General features: G+C 41.6%; 1 protein-coding gene across 11 annotated transcripts in view; it reads left to right on the plus strand.

Annotated features, from left to right (window-relative positions):
• Positions 1-371: 371 nt before the first annotated feature.
• Positions 372-21,485, plus strand: part of IPO5 (importin 5) — a 70,622-nt gene continuing 49,508 nt past the window's right edge. For 2 of the 11 annotated variants that reach the window (XM_047430299.1, XM_011521087.3), the window contains exons 1-4: positions 372-413; positions 816-895; positions 7,044-7,100; positions 16,420-16,527. Coding sequence is in view for 9 of the 11 variants with exons in the window: in XM_011521087.3 (XP_011519389.1) it covers positions 16,478-16,527 (50 nt within the window). In the remaining 2 variants the exon portion in view is untranslated. Of the gene's footprint in view, positions 414-799; positions 896-7,043; positions 7,101-9,856; positions 9,980-16,419; positions 16,528-21,485 lie in introns of all 11 variants that reach the window. The other 9 variants (XM_011521089.3, XM_047430298.1, XM_047430297.1 and 6 more) reach the window with 9 other exon arrangements.

The following is a 21,485-nucleotide window of genomic DNA, read 5'->3' on the forward strand; positions in this document are numbered from 1 at the left end:
TTGAGAGATCAATTTCTCTTTTCAGTATTGAGTAGTGAATAGAATCAAAATCTGTGGGTAAAGAAGCTACTCAGACAGTTTCAAAACTGAATTTGATGACACATTTGTACCCAATCTGAGTGGCCCCCAGCAACATGGGTTTTGAGTTCTCAAAGGCCAATAGATAGCTCCCTTTCCTTTCCACAGCTTTGGGAGCTTGGGCTACCCTGTAACGTCTAAATGCCTGTGCAGTGTGGGCCTGTGAAGCTGGCAGGGTGGGCAGTGTAAATGCCCACTAGCAGGAGCCAGCTGACCTCCTGCGTGTCACAATAGCAGCCAGGTGTCTCCACGGTGACGTCTCTGAGCCAGGAGGTCAGAACTGTGGGATTGATGACCTCCCACAACTGGAGCAGCCGGGAACAGCTCTGACCACAGTAAGTCATCCCAAAACCTCACATTCAGATGAAACCATTTAAGAATTTCATCTGCACTGAGGAACAATTTAGCGTGATACTGGAGGGAAAGAGTTTCCCTGTGAGATCCAGGAGGTCCCTTTAGCTCGTCTCCTGACGTCACCACAGTCATACCCAAGAGGAAGGAAACGTCAGAGACAATGATTTGGAGAACATTCTACACAAAAACCAAGTATGAAACAATGACGATTTCATGATGGCTCATTGTTCTTTGGTATTGTGCCTTACGTGAGCTGGGGACTAACTCTGTATCCTTAAGGAGGCATCACTTGATTAGAGTTGCCCAAAAGAATGTGGGTTATTATCCTAAAGGTCTGTGTTGCCATCCTGAAACAGTCAGAAATCAGTTTTTATTTCACTTAGGTGGTTCCGGGGAGAAGCCTTTCCAGGACCCATGTGTAGGCACAACTGTTTTCCCTGATCAGGATACTTGCGGCACTCAAGTGAGTCTAGAATTATCAGATTTTGTTCTGTCTCTCTTCACTGTGAATTCTATTCTTTATTTCCTTTAAAACAAAAAGCTCCTGCTATTTTCTCCTATAATTATGATATCTGTTTCTTGATCATTTTACCTTCTATTCACCAATTAATTGAAATCCAACCCATCAGGATTATCTACCCTGCTTTCCTATAGGGAGAATAAAAAGTGCTTAGAAGCAGTATGATTTTCACTGCCTTTAATTTCTCAAATCCCAAGATGTTCCATTTAAAATCTTTAGAGTATCTATTTTGTCTTCTGTACATTATGGTTGTATTCCCTCAGAGGCCGAGTATATTTTATCTTAGTTTTCAGAGATCACTAAAGTCAAGTAAATGAAGGAAAACAGAATTCATTTTCATTATGGGAAAACAAAATCAATCCCTAAGTAGTCAAAAGATTACTTACTTAAGGAACCACCTGGTTAACTTCTTCTCCTAGAACTTAATCCCCTAACTAGGGGTAAAAAAGGCTCATTGTCATCTTATAAAGTATTAGATACCAGGGACTTGTCAAATGCTAATGCCTTTATTATAGAATGTTTAATTTAGACCTTCCTAAACAGTTTTGCTTTCTTCCGTCATTTGTCTGTGATGGAACCTCAAAGACACTAACTAGTATGCGAGACAGATTTGTGTTGGAACATTGTGTTAGCTTTCCAGTAGAGTTAAAACTCTGGAATGCAATTATAAACCTCCAAATGAAAAATACCGGCCGGGCACAGTGGCTCACACCTATAATCCCAGCACTTTGGGAGGCTGAGGTGGGAGGATCACTTGGGCCTAGGAGTTTAAGGTCAGCCTAGGCAACATAGTGAGACCCTGTCTCTACAAAATATAGAAAAAAGTAGCCAGTTATGGCAGAATGCATCTGTAATTCCAGGGACTCAGGAGGCTGAGGTGAGAGGATTCCTTGAGCTGGGGAGGTCAAGACTGCAGTGAGCCATGACTGTGCCACTGCACTCCAGCCTGGGTGACAGAGTGGGACCCTATCACGAAAAAAAAAAAAGAAAAATACCTAAGTGGCCAAATACCTTATAAAGTTCATGCATGCTACTCTACAGGAAATATCCTCAGCTGTCTTCTCTGTGCTGAGTTCATATACTCTTGTGCCTAGTTCATACATGCTTGGTCATCTGCCTTCCAAAGCACACAGCAAACCAGATGATGAGAGCAGCTGACAAGTGGAGACAGTTGTCATTTTATGTTGGCAGCTACAATAAATGACACTGTCTGATGGAGAAAATGAGCGGGGAAAACACTTCCAAAACACAGGCAGAAATATAAGAGTTGAAATCCCAGAGTTCCAGAACAATTTCACCTCAGGGCAAGCAAGCCTAAGTGGCCTGTGTATCCACCACTCTACCACAACCCAGTGACATAACCGACTTGATGGTCCTCAGACGCCGGAGCTGGGAGGATCCCCTAGGGTGCTGCCCAACTCGCCCCAATTTACAGATGAGGAAATGGAGGCCTCAGGAAGCATTGACAGCCCAGTTCAGGATCACAGCTAGTTAAGGGGGAAGCTGCAACTACAGTCAGGATCCCCTCATCCCAAGGGCCAACTTCTATCCTATACGCCCCACTCTGGAAAGGTGAAAAATAATTCAGCATTTTGGCCAGGCGCAGTGGCTCATGCCTGTAATCCCAGCACTTTGGGAGGCCAAGGCAGGCGGATCACAAGGTCAGGAGACCAAGACCTTCCTGGCTTAACACGGTGAAACCCCGTCTCTACTAAAAATACAAAAAATTAGCCGGGCGTGGTGGCGGGCACCTGTGGTCCCAGCTACTCTGGAGGCTGAGGCGAGACAATGGCGTGAACCCGGGAGGTGGAGCTTGCAGTGAGCCAAGATCGCGCCACTGCACTCCAGCCTGGGCGACAGTGCGAGACTCCGTGTCAAAAAAAAAAAAACGAACAAAAAAAGTAAAAAATAAAAATAATAATAATTCAGTGTTTCAAAAGGTTTCAAAAGGCCAGTAAGGAATTAATACATGTTTAAAGAATTTTCTTGACAAAATGGTTGAAGGCTCATTGGTTACATTTGAGAATTAAATAAGATAAAGCATAGAAGGTTATCCCTCAAACACAGAAAGAAATCAAAATGTTGTCAGTTATTATTATAACTTAAAAATCTGATATATAAAAAAGTGCTTTTTTACAGAAGTCAGAAGAAAGTAGGTTGAGCATTTTTAATACTAATCTTTTAAATACCTTTGCTCTGCCAGAAAATTAATTTTCATAAAGCAATACATTGTTGGATCTCACCCTTAGGAAGGTCTTCCCTGGGCACCCTATTTTAACAGTACCCCATCACCTCTAGCTCTTTACTTTGATTTCGTATGCTTTATAACCTATTACCATATGAAACTAAAGATATGTATAAAATCTTTTCTCTAAAGCTTCTCCTAAAGTTCACAGCTAAAATACTATGATTTTCTTCTGGTTTTTAAATAGTCCTCTTGTTAGAAAAGATTTAGCCCTTATCCTCAATCTCACAGCCACTAAATAGTCAATTCACACAAGCCAAGTGATTTGTAAAATAGGAGTCTCTGCAAACTGAGTCCAACCAGCTTGAATAATAGCATCATAACATAATGGGATCCCTTTCTGGTGGTAGTGTCCGGGACCAAATACCAAAATTCCTATTTTAAGCTGTATTAAGATTTTCTAAATGTAGCTATGTTTCAAGAGAAAATGCTTGGTCTATGGATAGCTGAAGCCATGTAAAACAAGCATTCTTATCACATGGGTCCAATATCGCTGATTTTACATGGCAGATAGACCTTAAAACGCATTCCTACTTTTCCCACTCCCTCCCACATTCTTTAAAAGGGTAGGGTTTATTATCTCTCTGAATACTCAAATGAAAACTTAAGTGTATAAACAAAACTAGAAAAATCCTTAGATTAAGATGGGAGGAAGATGGTCTTTTGACCTCTTAATATTAGTTTGATCTAACATCTTTTTTTTTTTCTATTTTTTGAGACTGAGTCTCATTTTGTTGCCCAGGCTGGAGTGCAGTGGCGTGATCTCAGCTCACTGCAGCCTCCACCTCCCAGGTTCAAGCGATTCTCCCACCTCAGCCTCCTGAGTAGCTGGGACTACAGGCCTGCGCCACCATACCTGGCTAATTTTTTTTTTGTATTTTTTGTAGAGACAAGGTTTCACCATGTTGGCCAGGCTGGTCTCGAACTCCGACCTCAGGTGATCCACCTACCTCCCAAAGTCCTGGGATTACAGGCATGAGCCACCGCACTCAGCCTGATCTAAGTTCTTTAAATGATCATTCCATATTGTTAAACAATGTTTCTAAGTGAGAGGTAGAGAATTATATTAGTTGGTAGGAGGCCTAAATGCTTGAAGACAATTTAGAGAAAACTAGTTATTTCCTTGGCACAAAGTAAATCCTACTACTCCTGAAGTATAAGAAAAAATAAAAATAAAAACAATAAAAATAAACAATTCTTTGATCAAATAATTTTTTTAATTGACTTGTTCTGATCATTAGGGCCTACTTGTTCAGCCCACTATCCTTACATGCATTAGTGGATTCCTTCTCTTTTTTATCTCTGAAGATTTCAGAAGTAGATCAGTGGATTCCTTAAATGTTAAAGAAACCCTGTCTTCTGTAATCCCAGCTACTCTAGAGGCCGAGACAGCAGAATCGCTTGAACCCATGAGGTGGAGATTGCAGTGAGCCGAGATCGCACCACTGCACTCCAGCCTGGGTGACAGAGTGAGACAGAATGAGACTCTGTCTCAGAAAAAAAAGTAAAGAAAGAAACCCTTGCAATCAGAAAGAAAAAGAGAATTACAACTTAAAGTGACTAATGTTAAATATACTATTATATTTGGACTATATATAAACTAGAAACCTCCAGGGCCTGGCCTCAGGTGGAGTTGTCTTGCAGCTGATTGCTTGGCTCTCTTCTCTCTTCCCAACCTGATGTCATCCACTTCCACAACTTTAAATGCCATGAAAGTGATGGCTTGCCATTTCCAGCCCTGCCCTCTTCCTGGGCTCCATTGTCCCTCTATCCTCAGCCACGTGGCTGTTTCCTGTGTCCCACAAAAGTGCCACGAAGGAAACCCAGCTCTTCTCTCCAGACCTTACCCCAAACACCTCCTTCTCATCTTAATAGCATCATCAGTTGCTCAGTCACAAAACCTGGGCATTCTTGATCTCTCCCGACCTCACCCCCACCATCGGGAGAGGACTCATCAAGAAATTCCAGAAGCTTAAGTGTCAGGGACTCTCCTTTGCTCAGGACCCTCTATCTCATTTTGTGTTACCCCATTGCAGGGTCCTCTATCTCATTTTGTGTTTAGTTTTTATTTTTCTTATGGAAGGCCCTCAAACTGTATGATTTAGGCCTCACAAACCTTGGATCGGCCTCTGCACCCTCTGTCCAGCTCATTTCCAAAAGAAAACTATCTCAAAAAAAAAAAAGAAAGAAAGAGAAAAGAAAACCATCTAAAACCGACCACACAACAGTGAACACTGTTGATTGCTACCACCTCAGTCCAAGCCCCATCCCACCCCACCCCACACTGCAGCCAAGATGATCTTTGAAAGTTGAAAGCTTCTCAGGTCAGATCTCTTTCTTAACCCTCCACTAGATTCCCCTTTCCCCTAGGACAAGTCACACTACAAGAGGCAGGACACGGTGGCTCACACCTGTAACCCCAGCACTTTGGGAGGCTGAGGCAGGTAGATCACCTGAGGTCAGGAGTTCAAGACCAGCCTGGCCAACATGGTGAAACCTCGTCTCTACTAAAAATACAAAAATTAGCCAGACGTGGTGGCGGGCACCTGTAATCCCAGCTACTCGGGAGGCTGAGGCAAGAGAATTGCTTGAACCTAGGAGGCAGAGGTTGAAGTGAACTAAGATCACGCCACTGCACTCCAGCCTGGGTGACACAGCAAGACTGTGTCTCAAAAAAAAAAAAAGAGAGAGAACAAGTCACACTACAGAACCATCACAATGCCCTAGTAGCAGAACATGCTGCTGAACTATCAGGGTGCCCTGGGTGATCTGGCCTCTGCTGGCCTCTCAACCCTCTCAGCTTTAGCTATCCCCTTCTTTCCTTTCTGGAATACCCCAACTTGTTTTTGCCTCTGTCCTTCGTATTGTCACCTCTGCTTGAGAGAGCCTCCTCCATTTCTTTATTTGCCTCATCTTTCATTGTCACCTCCTCTCAAAAGACTGTCCCGGCAGGGCACGGTGGCTCACGCCTATAATCCCAGCACTTTGGGAGGCCGAGGCGGGTGGGTCACAAAGTCAGAAGTTCAAGACCAGCCTGGCCAACATGGTGAAACCCCGTCTCTACTAAAATACAAAAAACAAAAATTAACCGGGTGTGGTGGCGGGCGCCTATAGTCCCAGCTACTTAGGAGGCTGAGCCAGGAGAATTGCTTGAACCCGGGAGGCGTAGGTTGCAGTGAGCCTAGATAGCGCCACTGCACTCCAGCCGGGGTGACGGACTGGGACTCTGTCTCAAAGAAAAGAAAGACTGTGTCCCTAGGGTATGACCCCACTCCAAATCCAGTCATTCGTGATCCCATTATCTTCTTTTTTCACCTATAACTGTATGCAAGTATCTTATCAGTTTACTTGTTTATTATCTGAATTCTTTCAAAAGAGCTAAGCTCCCTGAAGGTGGGAACCCTGTCCGCATGCTCACCGTGGAATCCCCACAGCCTAGCAGCACCTCCCACAGAGGGGTGCCTAATATTTTTCTAAACAAATGAATGAAGAAAATGTTCATTAAACAAATACTACTGCAGTTAAATGTGGCATCAAGCAGTACTACACATAGGATGCATGGAATTGAAGCCTATGAACCATTATAAGGTCCCTTTCATTTGTTCCTCATTAACTGTGGATGACTAAAAATCCATGCTGCCAATAGCTCCAACTATGAGATGCAGATCGATGTCACAATTCAGACTCCATTATGTATGTCCTCACAATGCAGGAGGTGAAATGTGTATGTCATGTGTCCAAATTGTAAGATACTTGCTGTAAGTAGCAAAAAGATGGGAAGGAAAGTCTACAGACCAAATCATATCTGAATCTCCCCATTCTCCCTCTCCACAAATATTGGTTTAGGAATTCTCCGAAGTTTGAAGGTTATGAATGGTTATCACTCAAGGATTCAGAACTAAGGTAAAAATACTGTGAATGATAGGGGGAAAAAATCACTAATTGAGGTCTAAATCAATATCCTTCAGCTCTCTAAGGAAATGTATTTTTAATATAATAGCTTTATTGAGACATTCATACACCATAAAGTCCAAATTTTACTTTTTATTTTATTTATTTGGTTTTTTTTTTTTTTGAGATGGAGTTTCACCCTTGTCACCCAGGCTGGAGTGCAATGGCATGATCTCGGCTCACTGCAACCTCCACCTCCTGGGTTCAAGCAATTCTCCTGCCTCAGCCTCTTGAGTAGCTGGGATTACAGTCGCGCACCACTACGCCCAGCTAACTTTTGTACTTTCAGTAGAGACAGCGTTTCACCATGTTGGTCAAGCTGGTCTCGAACTCCTGACCTCAGGTGATCCACTCGCCTGAGCCTCCCAAAGTGCTGGGATTACAGGCATGAGCCACCTCACCCAGCCTAAAGTTCAACCTTCTAAAGTGTACAATGGAGTGTTTAGTATATTCAGTGGGCTGCACATTCATCACTATCACCCTTTCCTCACCCTAAAAGAAAACTCCATACCTGCTAGCACTCACTGATTCCCCTACCCACCCCATGCCCAGGCACATGGCAAGCACCAATCTACTGTCTATGGATGTGCTGATTCTGGACATTTCCCATAAGTGGGACCAAAAAAATGTGTGGTCTTTTTGTCTGATTTCCTTCAGGCAGTCTAATGAGTTTAAGGTTCACTCATGTTGTTACATGTATCATTACTTTATTCTTTTATTGCGAAGTAATATTTCCTTGTATAGTTAGAAGACATTTTGTTTATCCATTCACCAGTGGATGGACAGTTGAATTGTTTCCACTTTTTGGCTGTGGTGAATAATGTTGCCATGAACATTCATGTACAAGTTTTTGTGTCAACATATGTTGTCTTTTCTCTTGCACATATACCTAGGAGTGAAATTACTGAGTCAAATGGTAACTCAGGCTGGAGTGCAATGGCACGATCTCGGCTCAACGCAACCTCTGCCTCCCAGGTTCAAGTGATTCTCATGCCTCAGCCTCTCGAGTAACTGGAATTACAGGCATGCGTCACCACACCCAGCTTATTCAGACTGTTTTCCAAATTGGCTGTAACATTTTATGTTCCTATTAGCAAAGTATGAGCGTTTGAATTTCTCCACATTCTTGTCAACACTTGCTGTTGCCTTTTTTATTAAAGCCATTTTATTGGGTATGAAGTGGTAACTTACATTGTGGTTTTGATTTGCATTTCTCTAATGATGAATGATGTTGCACATCTTTTCATGTGCTTATTGGCCATTTGTATATTTTCTCTGGAGAAATGTCTATTCAAATGTTTTACCCATTTTTTTAATTGGGTTGTCTTTTTTTAATTGAGAGTAGGGCTTTTTAAATATTCTGGATATAAGTCCCTTATAAGACATATGATTTGTGGCCAGGCGCAGTGGCTCACACCTGTAATCCCAGCACTTTGGGAGACCAAAGTGAGTGGATCACTTGAGGTCAGGAGTTCAAGACCAGCCTGGCCAACACGGCAAAACCCCATCTCTACTAAAAATACAAAAATTAGCTGGGCGTGGGGGCGCACACCTGTAATCCCAGCTAATCTGGAGGCTGAGGCAGGAGAATCACTTGAACCTGGGAGGCAGAGCCTGCAGTGAGCTGAGATCATGCCAATGCATTCCAGCCTGGGTGACAGAGTGAGACTTTGTCTCAAAAAATATACATTATTTGCATATATTTTCTCCCATTCTATGAGTTGTCTTTTCTCTTTCTTGATGGTGTCCTTAAAAGCACAAAGGTTTTAATTTTGTGAAGTTCAATGTATCCATTTTTCTCTTCTGCCTTTTGTGATTTTGATGTCATAGCTAAAAAATGATTGCCTACCCCAAAGCGATGAAGATTTAGTCCTATATTTTCTTGTAAGAATTTTATAGTTTTAGCTCTTACATTTAGTCTATGATCCACTTTGAAGTTTTTATGACGTGAAGTATGGGTCCAGCTTCATTCTAACGCATGTGGATATCAAGTTGTACCGGCAACAATCTTTCCACAGTGAACAGTCATGGCTCCTATATTAGCCAGGGTCCTCAAGAGAAAATGAACCAATAAGAAATAGATGGATGGGCACAGTGGCTCACACCTGTAATCCCAGCACTTTGGGGGGCCCAGGCAGGCAGATCACTTGAGGTCAGGAGTTCGAGACCAGCCTGGCCAACATGGTGAAACCCCTGTCTCTATTAAAAATACAAAAAATTAGCTGGGTATGGTGAGGCACATCCGTAGTCCCAGCTGCTCAGGAGGCTGAGGCACAAGAATCACTTGAGCCTGGGAGGCAGAGGTTGCAGTGAGCCAAGATTGTGCCACTGCACTCCAGCCTGGGTGACAGAGTGAAACTGTCTCAAAAAAAAAAAAAAGGTAGATAGATAGATTTATTTTAAGGAATCTGCTACATAATTATGAGAGATGGAAAGTTCAAATCCTGCAGGGCAGGCTAGCAGGCTGGAAATTCAGGTTTGAGTTGATGTTGTAGTCTTGAGTTTGAAATCTGAAGGGCAAACCAGCAGGTGGAGATTCGGGCAAGGTTTCTGTGCTGTGGTCTTGTAGCAGAATTGTTTCTTCCCCCAGAAACCTCCATCTTTGCTATTAAGGCCTTCAACTGATTAGATGAAGCCCACCCACCTTGTGGAGGGTAATTTGCTTTAGTTAAAGTCAACTGATTATAAATGTTAAATTGTATCCACAGATACTTTCCCAGCAACATCTAGACTGCTGTTTGACCAAACAACGGGGCTCCAACAGCCTAGCCAAGTGAAACATAAAACTAACCATCACAGTATCCTTGTCAAAAATCAGTCTGACAACACATGTAAGGTTTATTTCTGGAGTCACTATTCAATTCCATTGATCTATATGTCTGTCCTTATGCCGGTAACACTTGTGTCTTAATTATTATAGCTTTTTTTTTTTTTTTTGAGACGGAGTCTAGCTCTGTCACCAGGCTAGAGTGCAGTGGTGGAATCTCAGCTCACTGCAATCTCCGCCTCCTGGGTTCAAGCAATTCCCTTGCCTCAGCCTCCCAAGTAGCTGGGACTACAGGCATGCACCCTCACGCCCGGCTAATTTTTTGTATTTTAGTACAGATGGGGTTTCACCATGTTGGCCAGGATGGTCTCGATCTTCTGACCTCATGATCTGCCCGCCTCAGCCTCCCAAAATGCTAGGATTATAGGTGTGAGCCACTGCACCCGGCCATTATTACAGCTTTATAGTAAGCCTTGAATTCAGCAACTGTTAATCCTTTGAATTTTGTTTTTTTCGACTGCTTTGGTTACTCAGAGTCTCTTGCAACTCTAGATGAATTTTTAGAATCAGTTTGTCCAATTTACACTCCCACCAACAGTGTAAAAGCATTCCTATTTCTCCACAGCCTCGCCAGCATCTGTTGTTTCCTGACTTTTTAATGATCACCATTCTAACTGGCATGAGATGATATCTCATTGTGGTTTTGATTTGCATTTCTCTAATGACCAGTGAGGATGAGCTTTTTTTCATATGTTTGTTGGCAACATAAATGTCTTCTTTTGAGAAGTGTCTGTTCATATCTTTTGCCTACTTTTTGATGGGGTTGTTTTTTTCTTGTAAATTTGTTTAAGTTATTTGTAGATTCTGGACATTAGCCCTCTGTCAGATGGATAGATTGCAAAAATTTTCTCCCATTCTGTAGGCTGCCTGTTCATTCTGATGACAGTTTCTTTTGCTGTGCAGAAGCTCTTTAGTTTAATTAGATCCTATTTGTCAATTTTGGCTTTTGTTGCAATTGCTTTTGGTGTTTTAGTCATGAAGTCATTGCCCATGCCTATGTCCTAAATGATATTGCCTAGGTTTTCTTCTAGGGTTTTCATGATTTTAAGTTTTACATTTAAGTCTTTAATCCATCTTGAGTTAATTTTTGTATAAGGTGTAAGGAATGGGTCCAGTTTGTGTTTTCTGCATATGACTAGCCAGTTTTCCCAGCACCATTTCTTTCTTTTTTTTTTTTTTTTTTTTTGGAGAATGAGTCTCGCTCTGTCACCCAGGCTGGAGTGCAGTGGCGCGATCTCGGCTCACTGCAAGCTCCGCCTCCCGGGTTCATGCCATTCTCCTGCCGAGTAGCTGGGACTATAGGCACCTGCCACCACACCCAGCTAATTTTTTTTTGTATTTTTACAAAAAAAAGTAGAGACGGGGTTTCACCGTGTTAGCCAGGATGGTCTCGATCTCCTGACCTCATGACCCGCCCGCCTCAGCCTCCCAAAGTGCTGGGATTACAGGCGTGAGCCACCGCGCCCGGCCTCCCAGCACCATTTCTTATATAGGGACAGTGTGGCGATTCCTCAAGGATCTAGAACCACAAATACCATTTGACCCAGCAATCCCATTACTGAGTATATACCCAAAGGATTATAAATCATTCTACTGTAAAGACACATGCACACGTATGTTTATTGCAGCACTATTTACAATAGCAAAGACTTGGAACCAACCAAATGCCCATCAATGATAGACTGGATAAAGAAAATGTGGCACACGTATACCATTGAATACTATGCAGCCATAAAAAAGAATGAGTTCATGTCCTTTGCAGGGACATGGATGAAGCTGGAAGCCATCATTCTCAGCAAACTAACACAGGAACAGAAAACCAAACACCACATGTTCTCACTCATAAGTGGGAGTTGGACAATGAGAACACATGGACACAGGAAGGGGAACATCACACACCAGGGCCTGTCGGGGGGTGGGGGACAAGGGAAGGGAGAGCATTAGGACAAATACTTAATGCATGCAGGGCTTAAAACCTAGATGATGGGTTGGTAGGTGCAGCAAACCACCATGGCACATGTATACCTATGTAACAAACCTGCACGTTCTGCACATGTATATCGAAACTGAAAAATTAAAAAAAAATCAGCTTGTCCATATCTGAAAAACAAAGGCAATTGGAATTTTAATTGGGATTACCTTGAATCTATAGATTAAGGGAGGGAGGTATCACCATCTTAATAATATTAAATCTCCCAATCCATGCGTATAGACTGTGTTTCCATTTATTTAGATCTTCTTTAATTTCTTCCAACAATGTTTTATAATTTTCAGCATACAAGTTCTACAGTTCTGTGAAAGTTACTATTACTTTGTTACTGAGTCTTATTCTTTTTTGATGCTATTGTAAATAAAACTGTGTTCTTAATTTCATTTTCAGATTGTTTATTGCTAGTGTATGGAATTACAATTGATTTTTATATATTGATCTTGTCTCCTGCAACCTTGCTGAACTTGTTTTGTTTGTTCTAATAGTTTGTGTGTGTGTGTGTGTGTGTGTGTGTGTGTGCTTGTGTGAATTCCTTAGGATTTTGTCTATACGAAATCATGTCACTTGTGAATAGAGATAGAATTTCCAGGCCGGGCACGGTGGCTCACGCCTGTAATCCCAGCACTTTGGGGCGGCCGAGGCAGGCGGATCATGAGATCATGACAGAGATCAAAACCAGCCTGGCCAACATGGTGAAACCCCATCTCTACTAAAAATACAAAAATTAGCTGGGTGTGGTGGCTTGTGCCTTAATCCCAGCTACTCAGGAGGCTGAGGCAGGAGAATCGCTTGAACCAGGGAGATGGAAGTTGCAGTAAGCCGAGATCTGCACTCCAGCCTGGGTGACAGAGCAAGGCCCCCTCTCAAAAAAAAAAAAAAAAAAAAAATAGAACTTCCAGTAAAATATTGAGTAAAAATGGTGACAATAGACATTCTTGTCTTGATCTCAGGGAGAAAACATCCAATTTTTCTCAACTAAATATGATGTTAACTGTGAGTCTGTCACAGATGGCTTTTATGAAGTTGAGGAAATTCCTCTTTATTCCTAGTTTGTTGAGCGTTTTAATAATGAAAAGGGATTGGATTCTGTGAAAAGCTTATCCTGCATCAATTGAGATGCTCATATAGTTTTTACGCTTTATTAATATGGTATATTACATTGATTTTCATATGTTATGCCAACCTTTCATTCCTGGGATAAATTTCACTTAATCATGGTAGATAATCCTCTCTATATGTTGTTTAATTCAGTTTGCTAGTATTTTGTTTATAATTTTTGTGTCGATATTGGTCTATAGTTTTTTTTGTTTTTGGCAGCAGGGCACAACTGGCCTTATAAAATGATTCATTACGTGTTCACTCTGCTTCTATTTTCTGACAAAGTTTGAGTAGGAATGGTGTTAATTGCTTTTTAAATGTTTGGTAAAATTCACCAGTAAAGTCATCTGGTCTGGGATTTTTCTTTGTGACTTTTAAAATTACTAATTCAGCTGGGCGCAGTGGCTCACGCCTGTAGTCAAAGCACTTTGAGAGGCCGAGGGAGGTGGATCACTTGAGGTCAGGAGTTCAAGACCAACCTGACTACAGTGAAACCACATCTCTACTAAAAACACAAAAATTAGCCGGGTGTGGTGGTGTGTGCCTATAGTCCCAGCTACTTGGGAGGCTGAGGCAGGAGAATTGCTTGAACCAGGGAGGCGGAGGTTGCAGTGAGCTAAGATCACGCCACTGCACTCCAGCCTGGGTGACAGAGCAAGACTCTGTCTCAAAAAATAATAAAATAAAATAAAATAACTAATTCAATAGTTTTACTTGCTGTAGATCTATTCATATTTTCTATTTCTTCGTGAATCACTTTTGATTTGCGTTTTTCTAGAAATGTGTCCATTTCCTCTAGGTTATCTAATTTGTTAGCACACAATTGGGTACAGTATTCTAATTCTTTTTATTTCTGAAAGCTGGGTAGTGATGTCTCCTCTTTCATTCCTGATTTTAGTATTTGAGTCTCCTCTTTTTTTTCCTGGTCAGTACAGCCAAAAGTTTGTGAATTTTGTTGATCTTCTCAAAGAAACAATTTTGGGTTATTTTTATTTTCTCTTTTTTAATTTTCTATTTCATTTATTTCCTTTTAGTCTTCTTTCTCTTTTTCTTCCTTTCTCTTTCTTTCTTGCTTTCTTTCTTTCAGCTTGTTGTGGATTTAGTTTGCCCTTCTTTCTTTAGTATCTAAGGAAGTAGGTTATTGATTTCTTCTTTTCTAATTGATAAGGACAGCTCTAAGTGTCCCTATGAGCATTGCTATCACTGCTATCCCATAAATTTTGGTATCTTATATTTTTGTTTTCATTCATCTGAAAGTATTTTCTGTTTGTTTGTTTGTTTGTTTGTTTGAGTCTCGCTCTGTCGCCCAGGCTGGAGTGCAGTGGCTCGATCTCAGCTCACTGCAAGCTCCGCCTCCCGGGTTCATGCCATTCTCCTGCCTCAGCCTCCCAAGTAGCTGGGACTACAGGTGCCCACCACCACGCCCGGCTAATTTTTTGTATTTTTAGCAGAGACGGCGTTTCACCATGTTAGCCAGGATGGTCTTGATCTCCTGACCTTGTGATCCGCCCACCTCGGCCTCCCAATATGCTGGGATTACAGGCATGAGCCACCGCACCCGGCTCAAAGTATTTTCTAATTTCTCTTGTGATTTTTTTCAATATAGAGAAGGGGTCTCACTCTGTCTGTCACCCAGGTTGGAATGCAGTGGTGCGATCATTGCTCACTGTAACTTTGAATTCCTGGGCTCAAAGGATCCTCCCACCTCAGCCTTCCAAAGCACTGTGATTAGAGACATGAGGCACCGTGCCAAGCCATCTTGTGATTTCTTCTTTGACGCACTTGTTATTTAGGAGTATGCAGTTTAATCTCTTGTGAATTTCTCAAATTTCCTTTTGTTCTTGATTTCTAATTTTATTCTGTTGTGGTCAGAGAACATACTTTGTTGGTTTCAATCCTTTAAAATTGACTGAAGCTTGTTTTACAGCCTAACATATGGTCTATCCTGGAGAATGTTCCATATTCACTTGAGGAAAATGTTTACTCTGCTGCTTTTGGGTGGAGTGTCTTACACTTGTCTTGTAGGTGTAGTTGGTTTATCTTATTCTTTGTCTTCCATTTATTATTGATCTATCTAGTTATCCTATCCGTTACTGAAAGGTGGGAACAGAAGTCTCAAACTATTTTTGTTGAATTATCTATTTCTCCCTTAATTCTGTCAGGTTTTGCTTTATGTATTTTGGTGCTGTTAGGCACATGTGTTTAAAACTGTTCTATCTTCCTGATTGAATTTTTTATTATAAAAATGTCCTCTTTATCTCTAATGACATTTTTTGTCTTAAAATCTATTTTGTCTAAAATTAAGAGAGCCATTCCACCTGCTTTTGTTTTTTTGTCTTTTTGAGATGGAGTCTTGCTCCGTCACCCAGGCTGGAGTGCAGTGGCACCATCTCGGCTCATTACAGCCTCTGCCTCCCAGGTTCAAACAGTTCTCGTATCTCAGCCTCCCAGGTAACAGAGTACAGCCGCCTGCCACTACACCCAGCTAACATTTGTATTTTTAGTAGAGACGGGGTTTCACCATGTTTGCCAGGCTGGTCTTGAACTCCCGACCTCAAGTGATCCACCCACCCTGGCCTCCCAAAGTGCTGGGATTACAGGCGCCTGCCACTACGCCTAGCTAAAGTTTGTATTTTTAGTAAAAACGGGTTTTCTCTATGTTGGCCAGGCTGCGTATCTGCTTTTGAATACTGTTTGCATGGTGTGTCTTTTTCTATCCTTTTACTTTCAACCTATTTGTGTTCTAAGAAAAATCATTTAACTTAGAAATGAAATCTTTCTGCTAAGTATATATATATATATATATATATTTTTTTTTTTTTTTTTTTTTTTTGATACGTAGTCTCGCTCTGTCACCCAGGCTGGTGAGCAGTGGCGCGATCTCAGCTCACCGCAAGCTCTGCCTCCCAGGTTCACACCATTCTCCTGCTTCAGCCTCCCGAGTAGCTGGGACTACAGGTGCCCACCACCACGCCCAGCTAATTTTTTTGTATTTTTAGTAGAGACGGGGTTTTACCGTGTTAGCCAGGATGGTCTCCATCTCCTGACCTCGTGATCCGCCTGCCTTGGCCTCCCAAAGTGCTGGGATTATAGGCGTGAGCCACTGCACCCGGCCTCTGCTAAGTATATTTTTATTTCAGGTATTAAAATGCAACAAATGATTTTTAAAAATCCATTTACCACTTTTAAATGAAAACAACATCAAGAAAAGGTATTTTTATTTTCTCCAACTCTTAACCAGTCTTTGATTTAACTGATAAGGATTTATTCTTCAAAATCAGATGTGATTTTTAAGAATATCATCTTCAAAATTAAGTACCATCTAATGGTCCACCATTCTGTTTCTGTCAAATCAGCAGAGGAAAGAAATTCCTAAGGGAACACTGCTCAGAAAGTACTGCAGCATGTCTTCAAATGCCTGAGGATCAAGTTGGAAAACTAGAAGCAACAGAAAACACAATAAGGTAACTGATTTCACCTGGGGAAAAGTCACTTCCTGTTTTGTTTTTTTTAAAAGAGACAAGGTCTCGCCATGTTGCCCAGGCTGGTCTCGAACTCCTGGTCTCAGGCAATCCTCCCACCTCAGCCTCCCAAAGTGCTGGGATTACAGGCGTGAGCCATCACACCCAGCCAAAAGTCACTTCCTAAATGTCAATGTACAAAGTATGTAGGACACCTATGTGTAGCTAGTTGGCTATTTTATTCTCCAGCAAAGCACTGCCCAATCGAAATATAATATGAGCCACAAATACAAATCACATATGCAATTTTAAAATTTCTAGTAGCCATATTTTTAACAAGTAAAAAAAAGTGAAATTAATACATTTAACAATAGTTTATCAATAAATATAACTATTTTATTTAACACAATATATTAACATTTCTACATGTGACCAATATAAAATTGTTATTCTTAATTTCCTACTAAGTCTTTGAAATTTACTGTGTATTTTACACTTAAAATATATCTCAGGCCAGGCTCAGTGGCTCACGCCTGTAATCCCAGCACTTTGGGAGGCCGAGGCGGGTGGATCACGAGGTCAGGAGTTCGAGACAAGCCTGGCCAAGATGGTGAAACCCCGTCTCTACTAAAAATAAAAAAAAATTAGCCGGGCATGGTGGCGGGCGCCTGTAATCCCAGCTACTTGGGGGGCTGAGGCAGGAGAATCGCTTGAACCCGGGAGGCAGAGGTTGCAGTGAGCTGAAATCGTGCCACTGCACTCCAGCCTGGGCGACAGAGTGGGACTCCGTCGCAAAAAAAAAGAAAAAAGCATACCTCAGTTCAAACACGCCATATTTCAATTGGTCAACAGTCATAATGGCTAGTGGCTACCATAATGAGCATTGCAACTGTAGCATTGAAAGCCAGAAATAGCCTTTAATAGCTCTGTGATAATCAAATCAAACTTGATTTTTTTCTTAACCACAATTATGATGCATTCCTGTAACATGACCACTTATATAATGAGAATATAAAAATGCAATAGTCTAACAGGTAGATGTCCAATCAAAATTAAAGTTACAAATTTTAGAGGTTGCAATCTGTATTAGCAATCACAGCCACTATCTATTAAGCATTTACTCTGTGCCCGGCACTACTGCCAGGTATTTTAATCAGTAGTAAAAAATACTTCTATTACACCCATTTCAGAGAAGAAGAAACTGGGCTTGAGACAGGTTACCTTGGGCAAGATCACACAGCATGTAGGCTGTGAAGCTATCATTTGAACTTGCACATTGGCCGGCTCTGGAGCCTCTGCTCCCAGCCTCCCTAAAATGAGTCCCTCCATCTGCAGATATCCACTGAATCTCAAATATAAAACTAAGAAAGGGCGCAAAAGAAAACAATCAAGTCAAAATTTCCCTGCCTGTGTTCCATTCCACAATTTACTGAGGGCCTATTGTGCACAGTGTCCTTCAGGATTGTTAGGGTCCCACTTGCCCCTGGCTGAGGTGCACTGACTGTATGTAACAGACTGCTTCAGAGCAGGAACTTGAAAGTTTTGATAAAAAGCAGTTGAAAAAAATGTGAATATTTCAGCATATTTTCAATAATTTTTCAACCATTCAAACTTTTTTTGCTGGCTCTTATCTAGGCAACAGAAAACATCAGTATTAGAGTCAGAAATCTTACTTATCAGCCAAGTGTCTATTGAATATCTGTAATCCATTCCATACACTATTTCACTCTGCACAATTGGGAGACTAATAGAAAATACGCAAGTAGATTTTATATAAACACAAATGTGATGCACATGACTATGCATCAGCTGCAGCCTTAAGAGTAATTACTTGTTTAAGGCCAGGCGCGGTGGCTCAAGCCTGTAACCCCAGCACTTTGGGAGGCCGAGGTAGGAGGATCGCTTGAGCCCAGGAGTTCAAGACTGTCCTGGGCAATATAGCAAGACCCCATCTCTAAAAAAACAAACAAAAAGAGTAATTACTTGTTTAAGGTCACATTTAACTCCCAAATCCATCTTACTAATAAAAGAGATAATTATTGAGTATCTACTTATGCAGACACCATACTATGTGAATTTACATATATTATCCTAACTTTCAAAACACTCCTATGAAGAACTATCATTCCAATTTTACAGATGAGAAAACAAAGCCAGCATTCTTTTTCATTGTACCAGGTTAATTATTAACAAAAATAATAATGCCATCAGCTTACATTGGTGTAGTTACAGATTATAACACTTTGATTTATACCATCTAAATTGACCCTCATAATAAATTGTGATATCAAGAGCATAGCGCTTACAACTACCAAGATAAGGAGTCATAGAGACCCGAGACAACTTAAAACAAAATTAGATTATTCACTTGGGAGAATCTTATGTTATTTGCATTCAGCACTCTGCAAACCAGAAAGGGCAGACAAAACCAAATTCTATCCCAGCTGAGAAAAGCTTTCACAGAGGTCTTACAAGCCTAACTTCTCCAACCTTCTCCCACTTCCAGAACACTCCCATCAACATGGGAGCCCATAAAACTAAGAGCAGTAGTGGGAGAGATTCTGATGCTCTCTAGTTAAGGAGCCTGGTCTCCTGCAGTATTACAAATAGGTCATGCCCAGGCTGTGCAGTACTTCCTAACAGCAAAAATCCTAAACTACCTAGATTTCAAGTAGCAGTTGAGAGAGACTTTGTTTTCTTTCCCCCAACCTCACCCTTTTCGTAAAGGGTTGCAAATGCTCCAAGCAAATTTGCCTCCAGCACTTAATGGAAGTAGTGCCAAGTCTAATAAACTGCAAGGGAAAGGAGCTGGCCATTCACAAGATAAACCACTAAGTACATTACTTCGGGGCAGTTTTGTTTTTGTTTTTTTATTTTAATGCGGCCAAAGCAATGGCAGCGAATACGGAGTAAGCAAAACTCAAAGTTTTCTATCCTTGCATTTTTACTTCCAATTATAAGTTAATGCTAGAAGAACTTTTATGATTAATAATATACTTTTTATTATCCCCATTTTATAGATGAGAAATTGAGGCTTAGCGACATTAAGCACTCAAGGTTACACAGCTAGTAAGAGACTAAAGATACAAATCCCCTAGACTCAAGTTCAAGGCTCTTTACCTTCCACCATTTGATCTCCTTGGGAAATAAATAAATCTATAATCCTGCAGGCTGTTTTTATGGAATATCTTAGTTATTTTCTTTTATCTTCTTTTTTTTTTTTTTTTTTTTTTGAGAGGGAGTCTCACTCTGTCACCCATGCTGTAGTGCAGTGGCATGATACTGGCTCACTGCAACCTCCGTCTCCTGGGTTCAAGCGATTCTCCTGCCTCAGCCTCCAGAGTAGCTGGGATTACAGGCATGCGCCACCATACCCAGCTGATTTTTTTTTTGTATTTCTAGTAGAGACGGGGTCTCGCCCTGTTGGCCAGGCTGGTCTCAAACTCCTGACCTCAGGGGATCCACCCGCCTCCCAAAGTGCTAGGATTACAGGCGTGAGCCACTGCACCCAGCCCCTGAGTTATTTTCTTATAAGAAAATGATACTCTTATAAACAATAAGGACACTGTCTATGGGAAATGGGCTTCTAAGTGCAGTAAACTTCCCAGAAGGCTGAGCATTATAAACTCTTCAAAATGGCAAGCCTGCTACCGAAAATACAGTCCCCACTTAGGAGGTTTTCTGGACACCAGAACCAGTCTCCATTGTCAGGACATCTGCTATCTACCCCAAGTTTACTGGAATTTCTCCCATTTTGGGTGGCGGGGTGGTCTCTTCATTCATTAACCTTAAAATTCTTCTCCTTCCCTTTTGATTGGATATTTAAAATGTTAAAATAAGGCTGGGCTGTGATTTCGTGTTCTAGCAGTTGATGTCACCACTAATACAAAATTGTTTTGTTTTTAGCCTGCCTGAAATAATCTTAGGTTTACGCTTTGCCTCGTTAAAAAACAAGCTCCTAGCCGGGTGTGGTGGCGGAGGCCTGTAATCCTAGCACTTTGGGAGGCCAAAGTGGGAGGATCGCCCGAACTCAGGAGTTTGAGACCAGCCTGGGTAACAGGAAGACCCCATCTCTACCAAAACTGGAAACATTAGCCAGGTGTGGTGGCTTGTGCCTGCAGACCAGCTAGTTGGAAGGGCTGAGGTGGGAGGATCGCTGGAGCCCAAGAAGTGGCGGCTGCAGTGAGATCACACCACTGCTCTCCACCCTGGGCAACAGAGTGAGACTCTGTCTCAAAATAATAATAATAACAATAATAATAATAGTAACAAATATCTGCAAACTTGATTGGAATTTCTATTATTTAGTAACTATTAAGCAAATATATGTAACCTACAGACTCATTGCCAATAGAAACACATATCGCAACAGGTGTTAAAAAGTAACTGGAGATCGGGCCATGCCCTAAGCAGCCTCTAAGCAATTTATCATATTTCACTGTTAACCTAGTCATTTGAATGAGTTGTTTTTGTCTGAAATTCTTTTTTTTTTTTTTTGAGACGGAGTCTTGCTCTATCACCCAGGCTGGAGTGCAATGGCACGATCTCGGCTCACTGTAACCTCCACCTCCCAGGTTCAAGTGATTCTCCTGCCTCAGCCTCCCGAGTAGCTGGGATTACAGGCGCCCACCACCACCACACCTGGCTAATTTTTGTATTTTTAGTAAAGACGGGCTTTCACCATGTTGGCCAGGCTCGTCTCGAACTCCTGACCTCAGGTGATCCGCCCACCTCGGCCCCCCAAAGTGCTGGGATTACAGGCGTGAGCCACCTTGCCCGGCCTGTAATTCTTAAAACCTTAATAACCTTGGCTGATGATGAAACCTCCTCAGAATCCAGATACCCCAACGACCCACAAAAAAAAAAAAAAATCAAAATCAAACAAAAAAAAGCTGCCCCAAAGTAATGTGCATAGTGGTTTGTCTAGAAGAAATAACGTGGCATAAGAATGAAAACTTGTC

This window comes from Homo sapiens, chromosome 13 (genome assembly GCF_000001405.40).
Source record: "Homo sapiens chromosome 13, GRCh38.p14 Primary Assembly".
Classification (NCBI taxonomy): domain Eukaryota; kingdom Metazoa; phylum Chordata; class Mammalia; order Primates; family Hominidae; genus Homo; species Homo sapiens.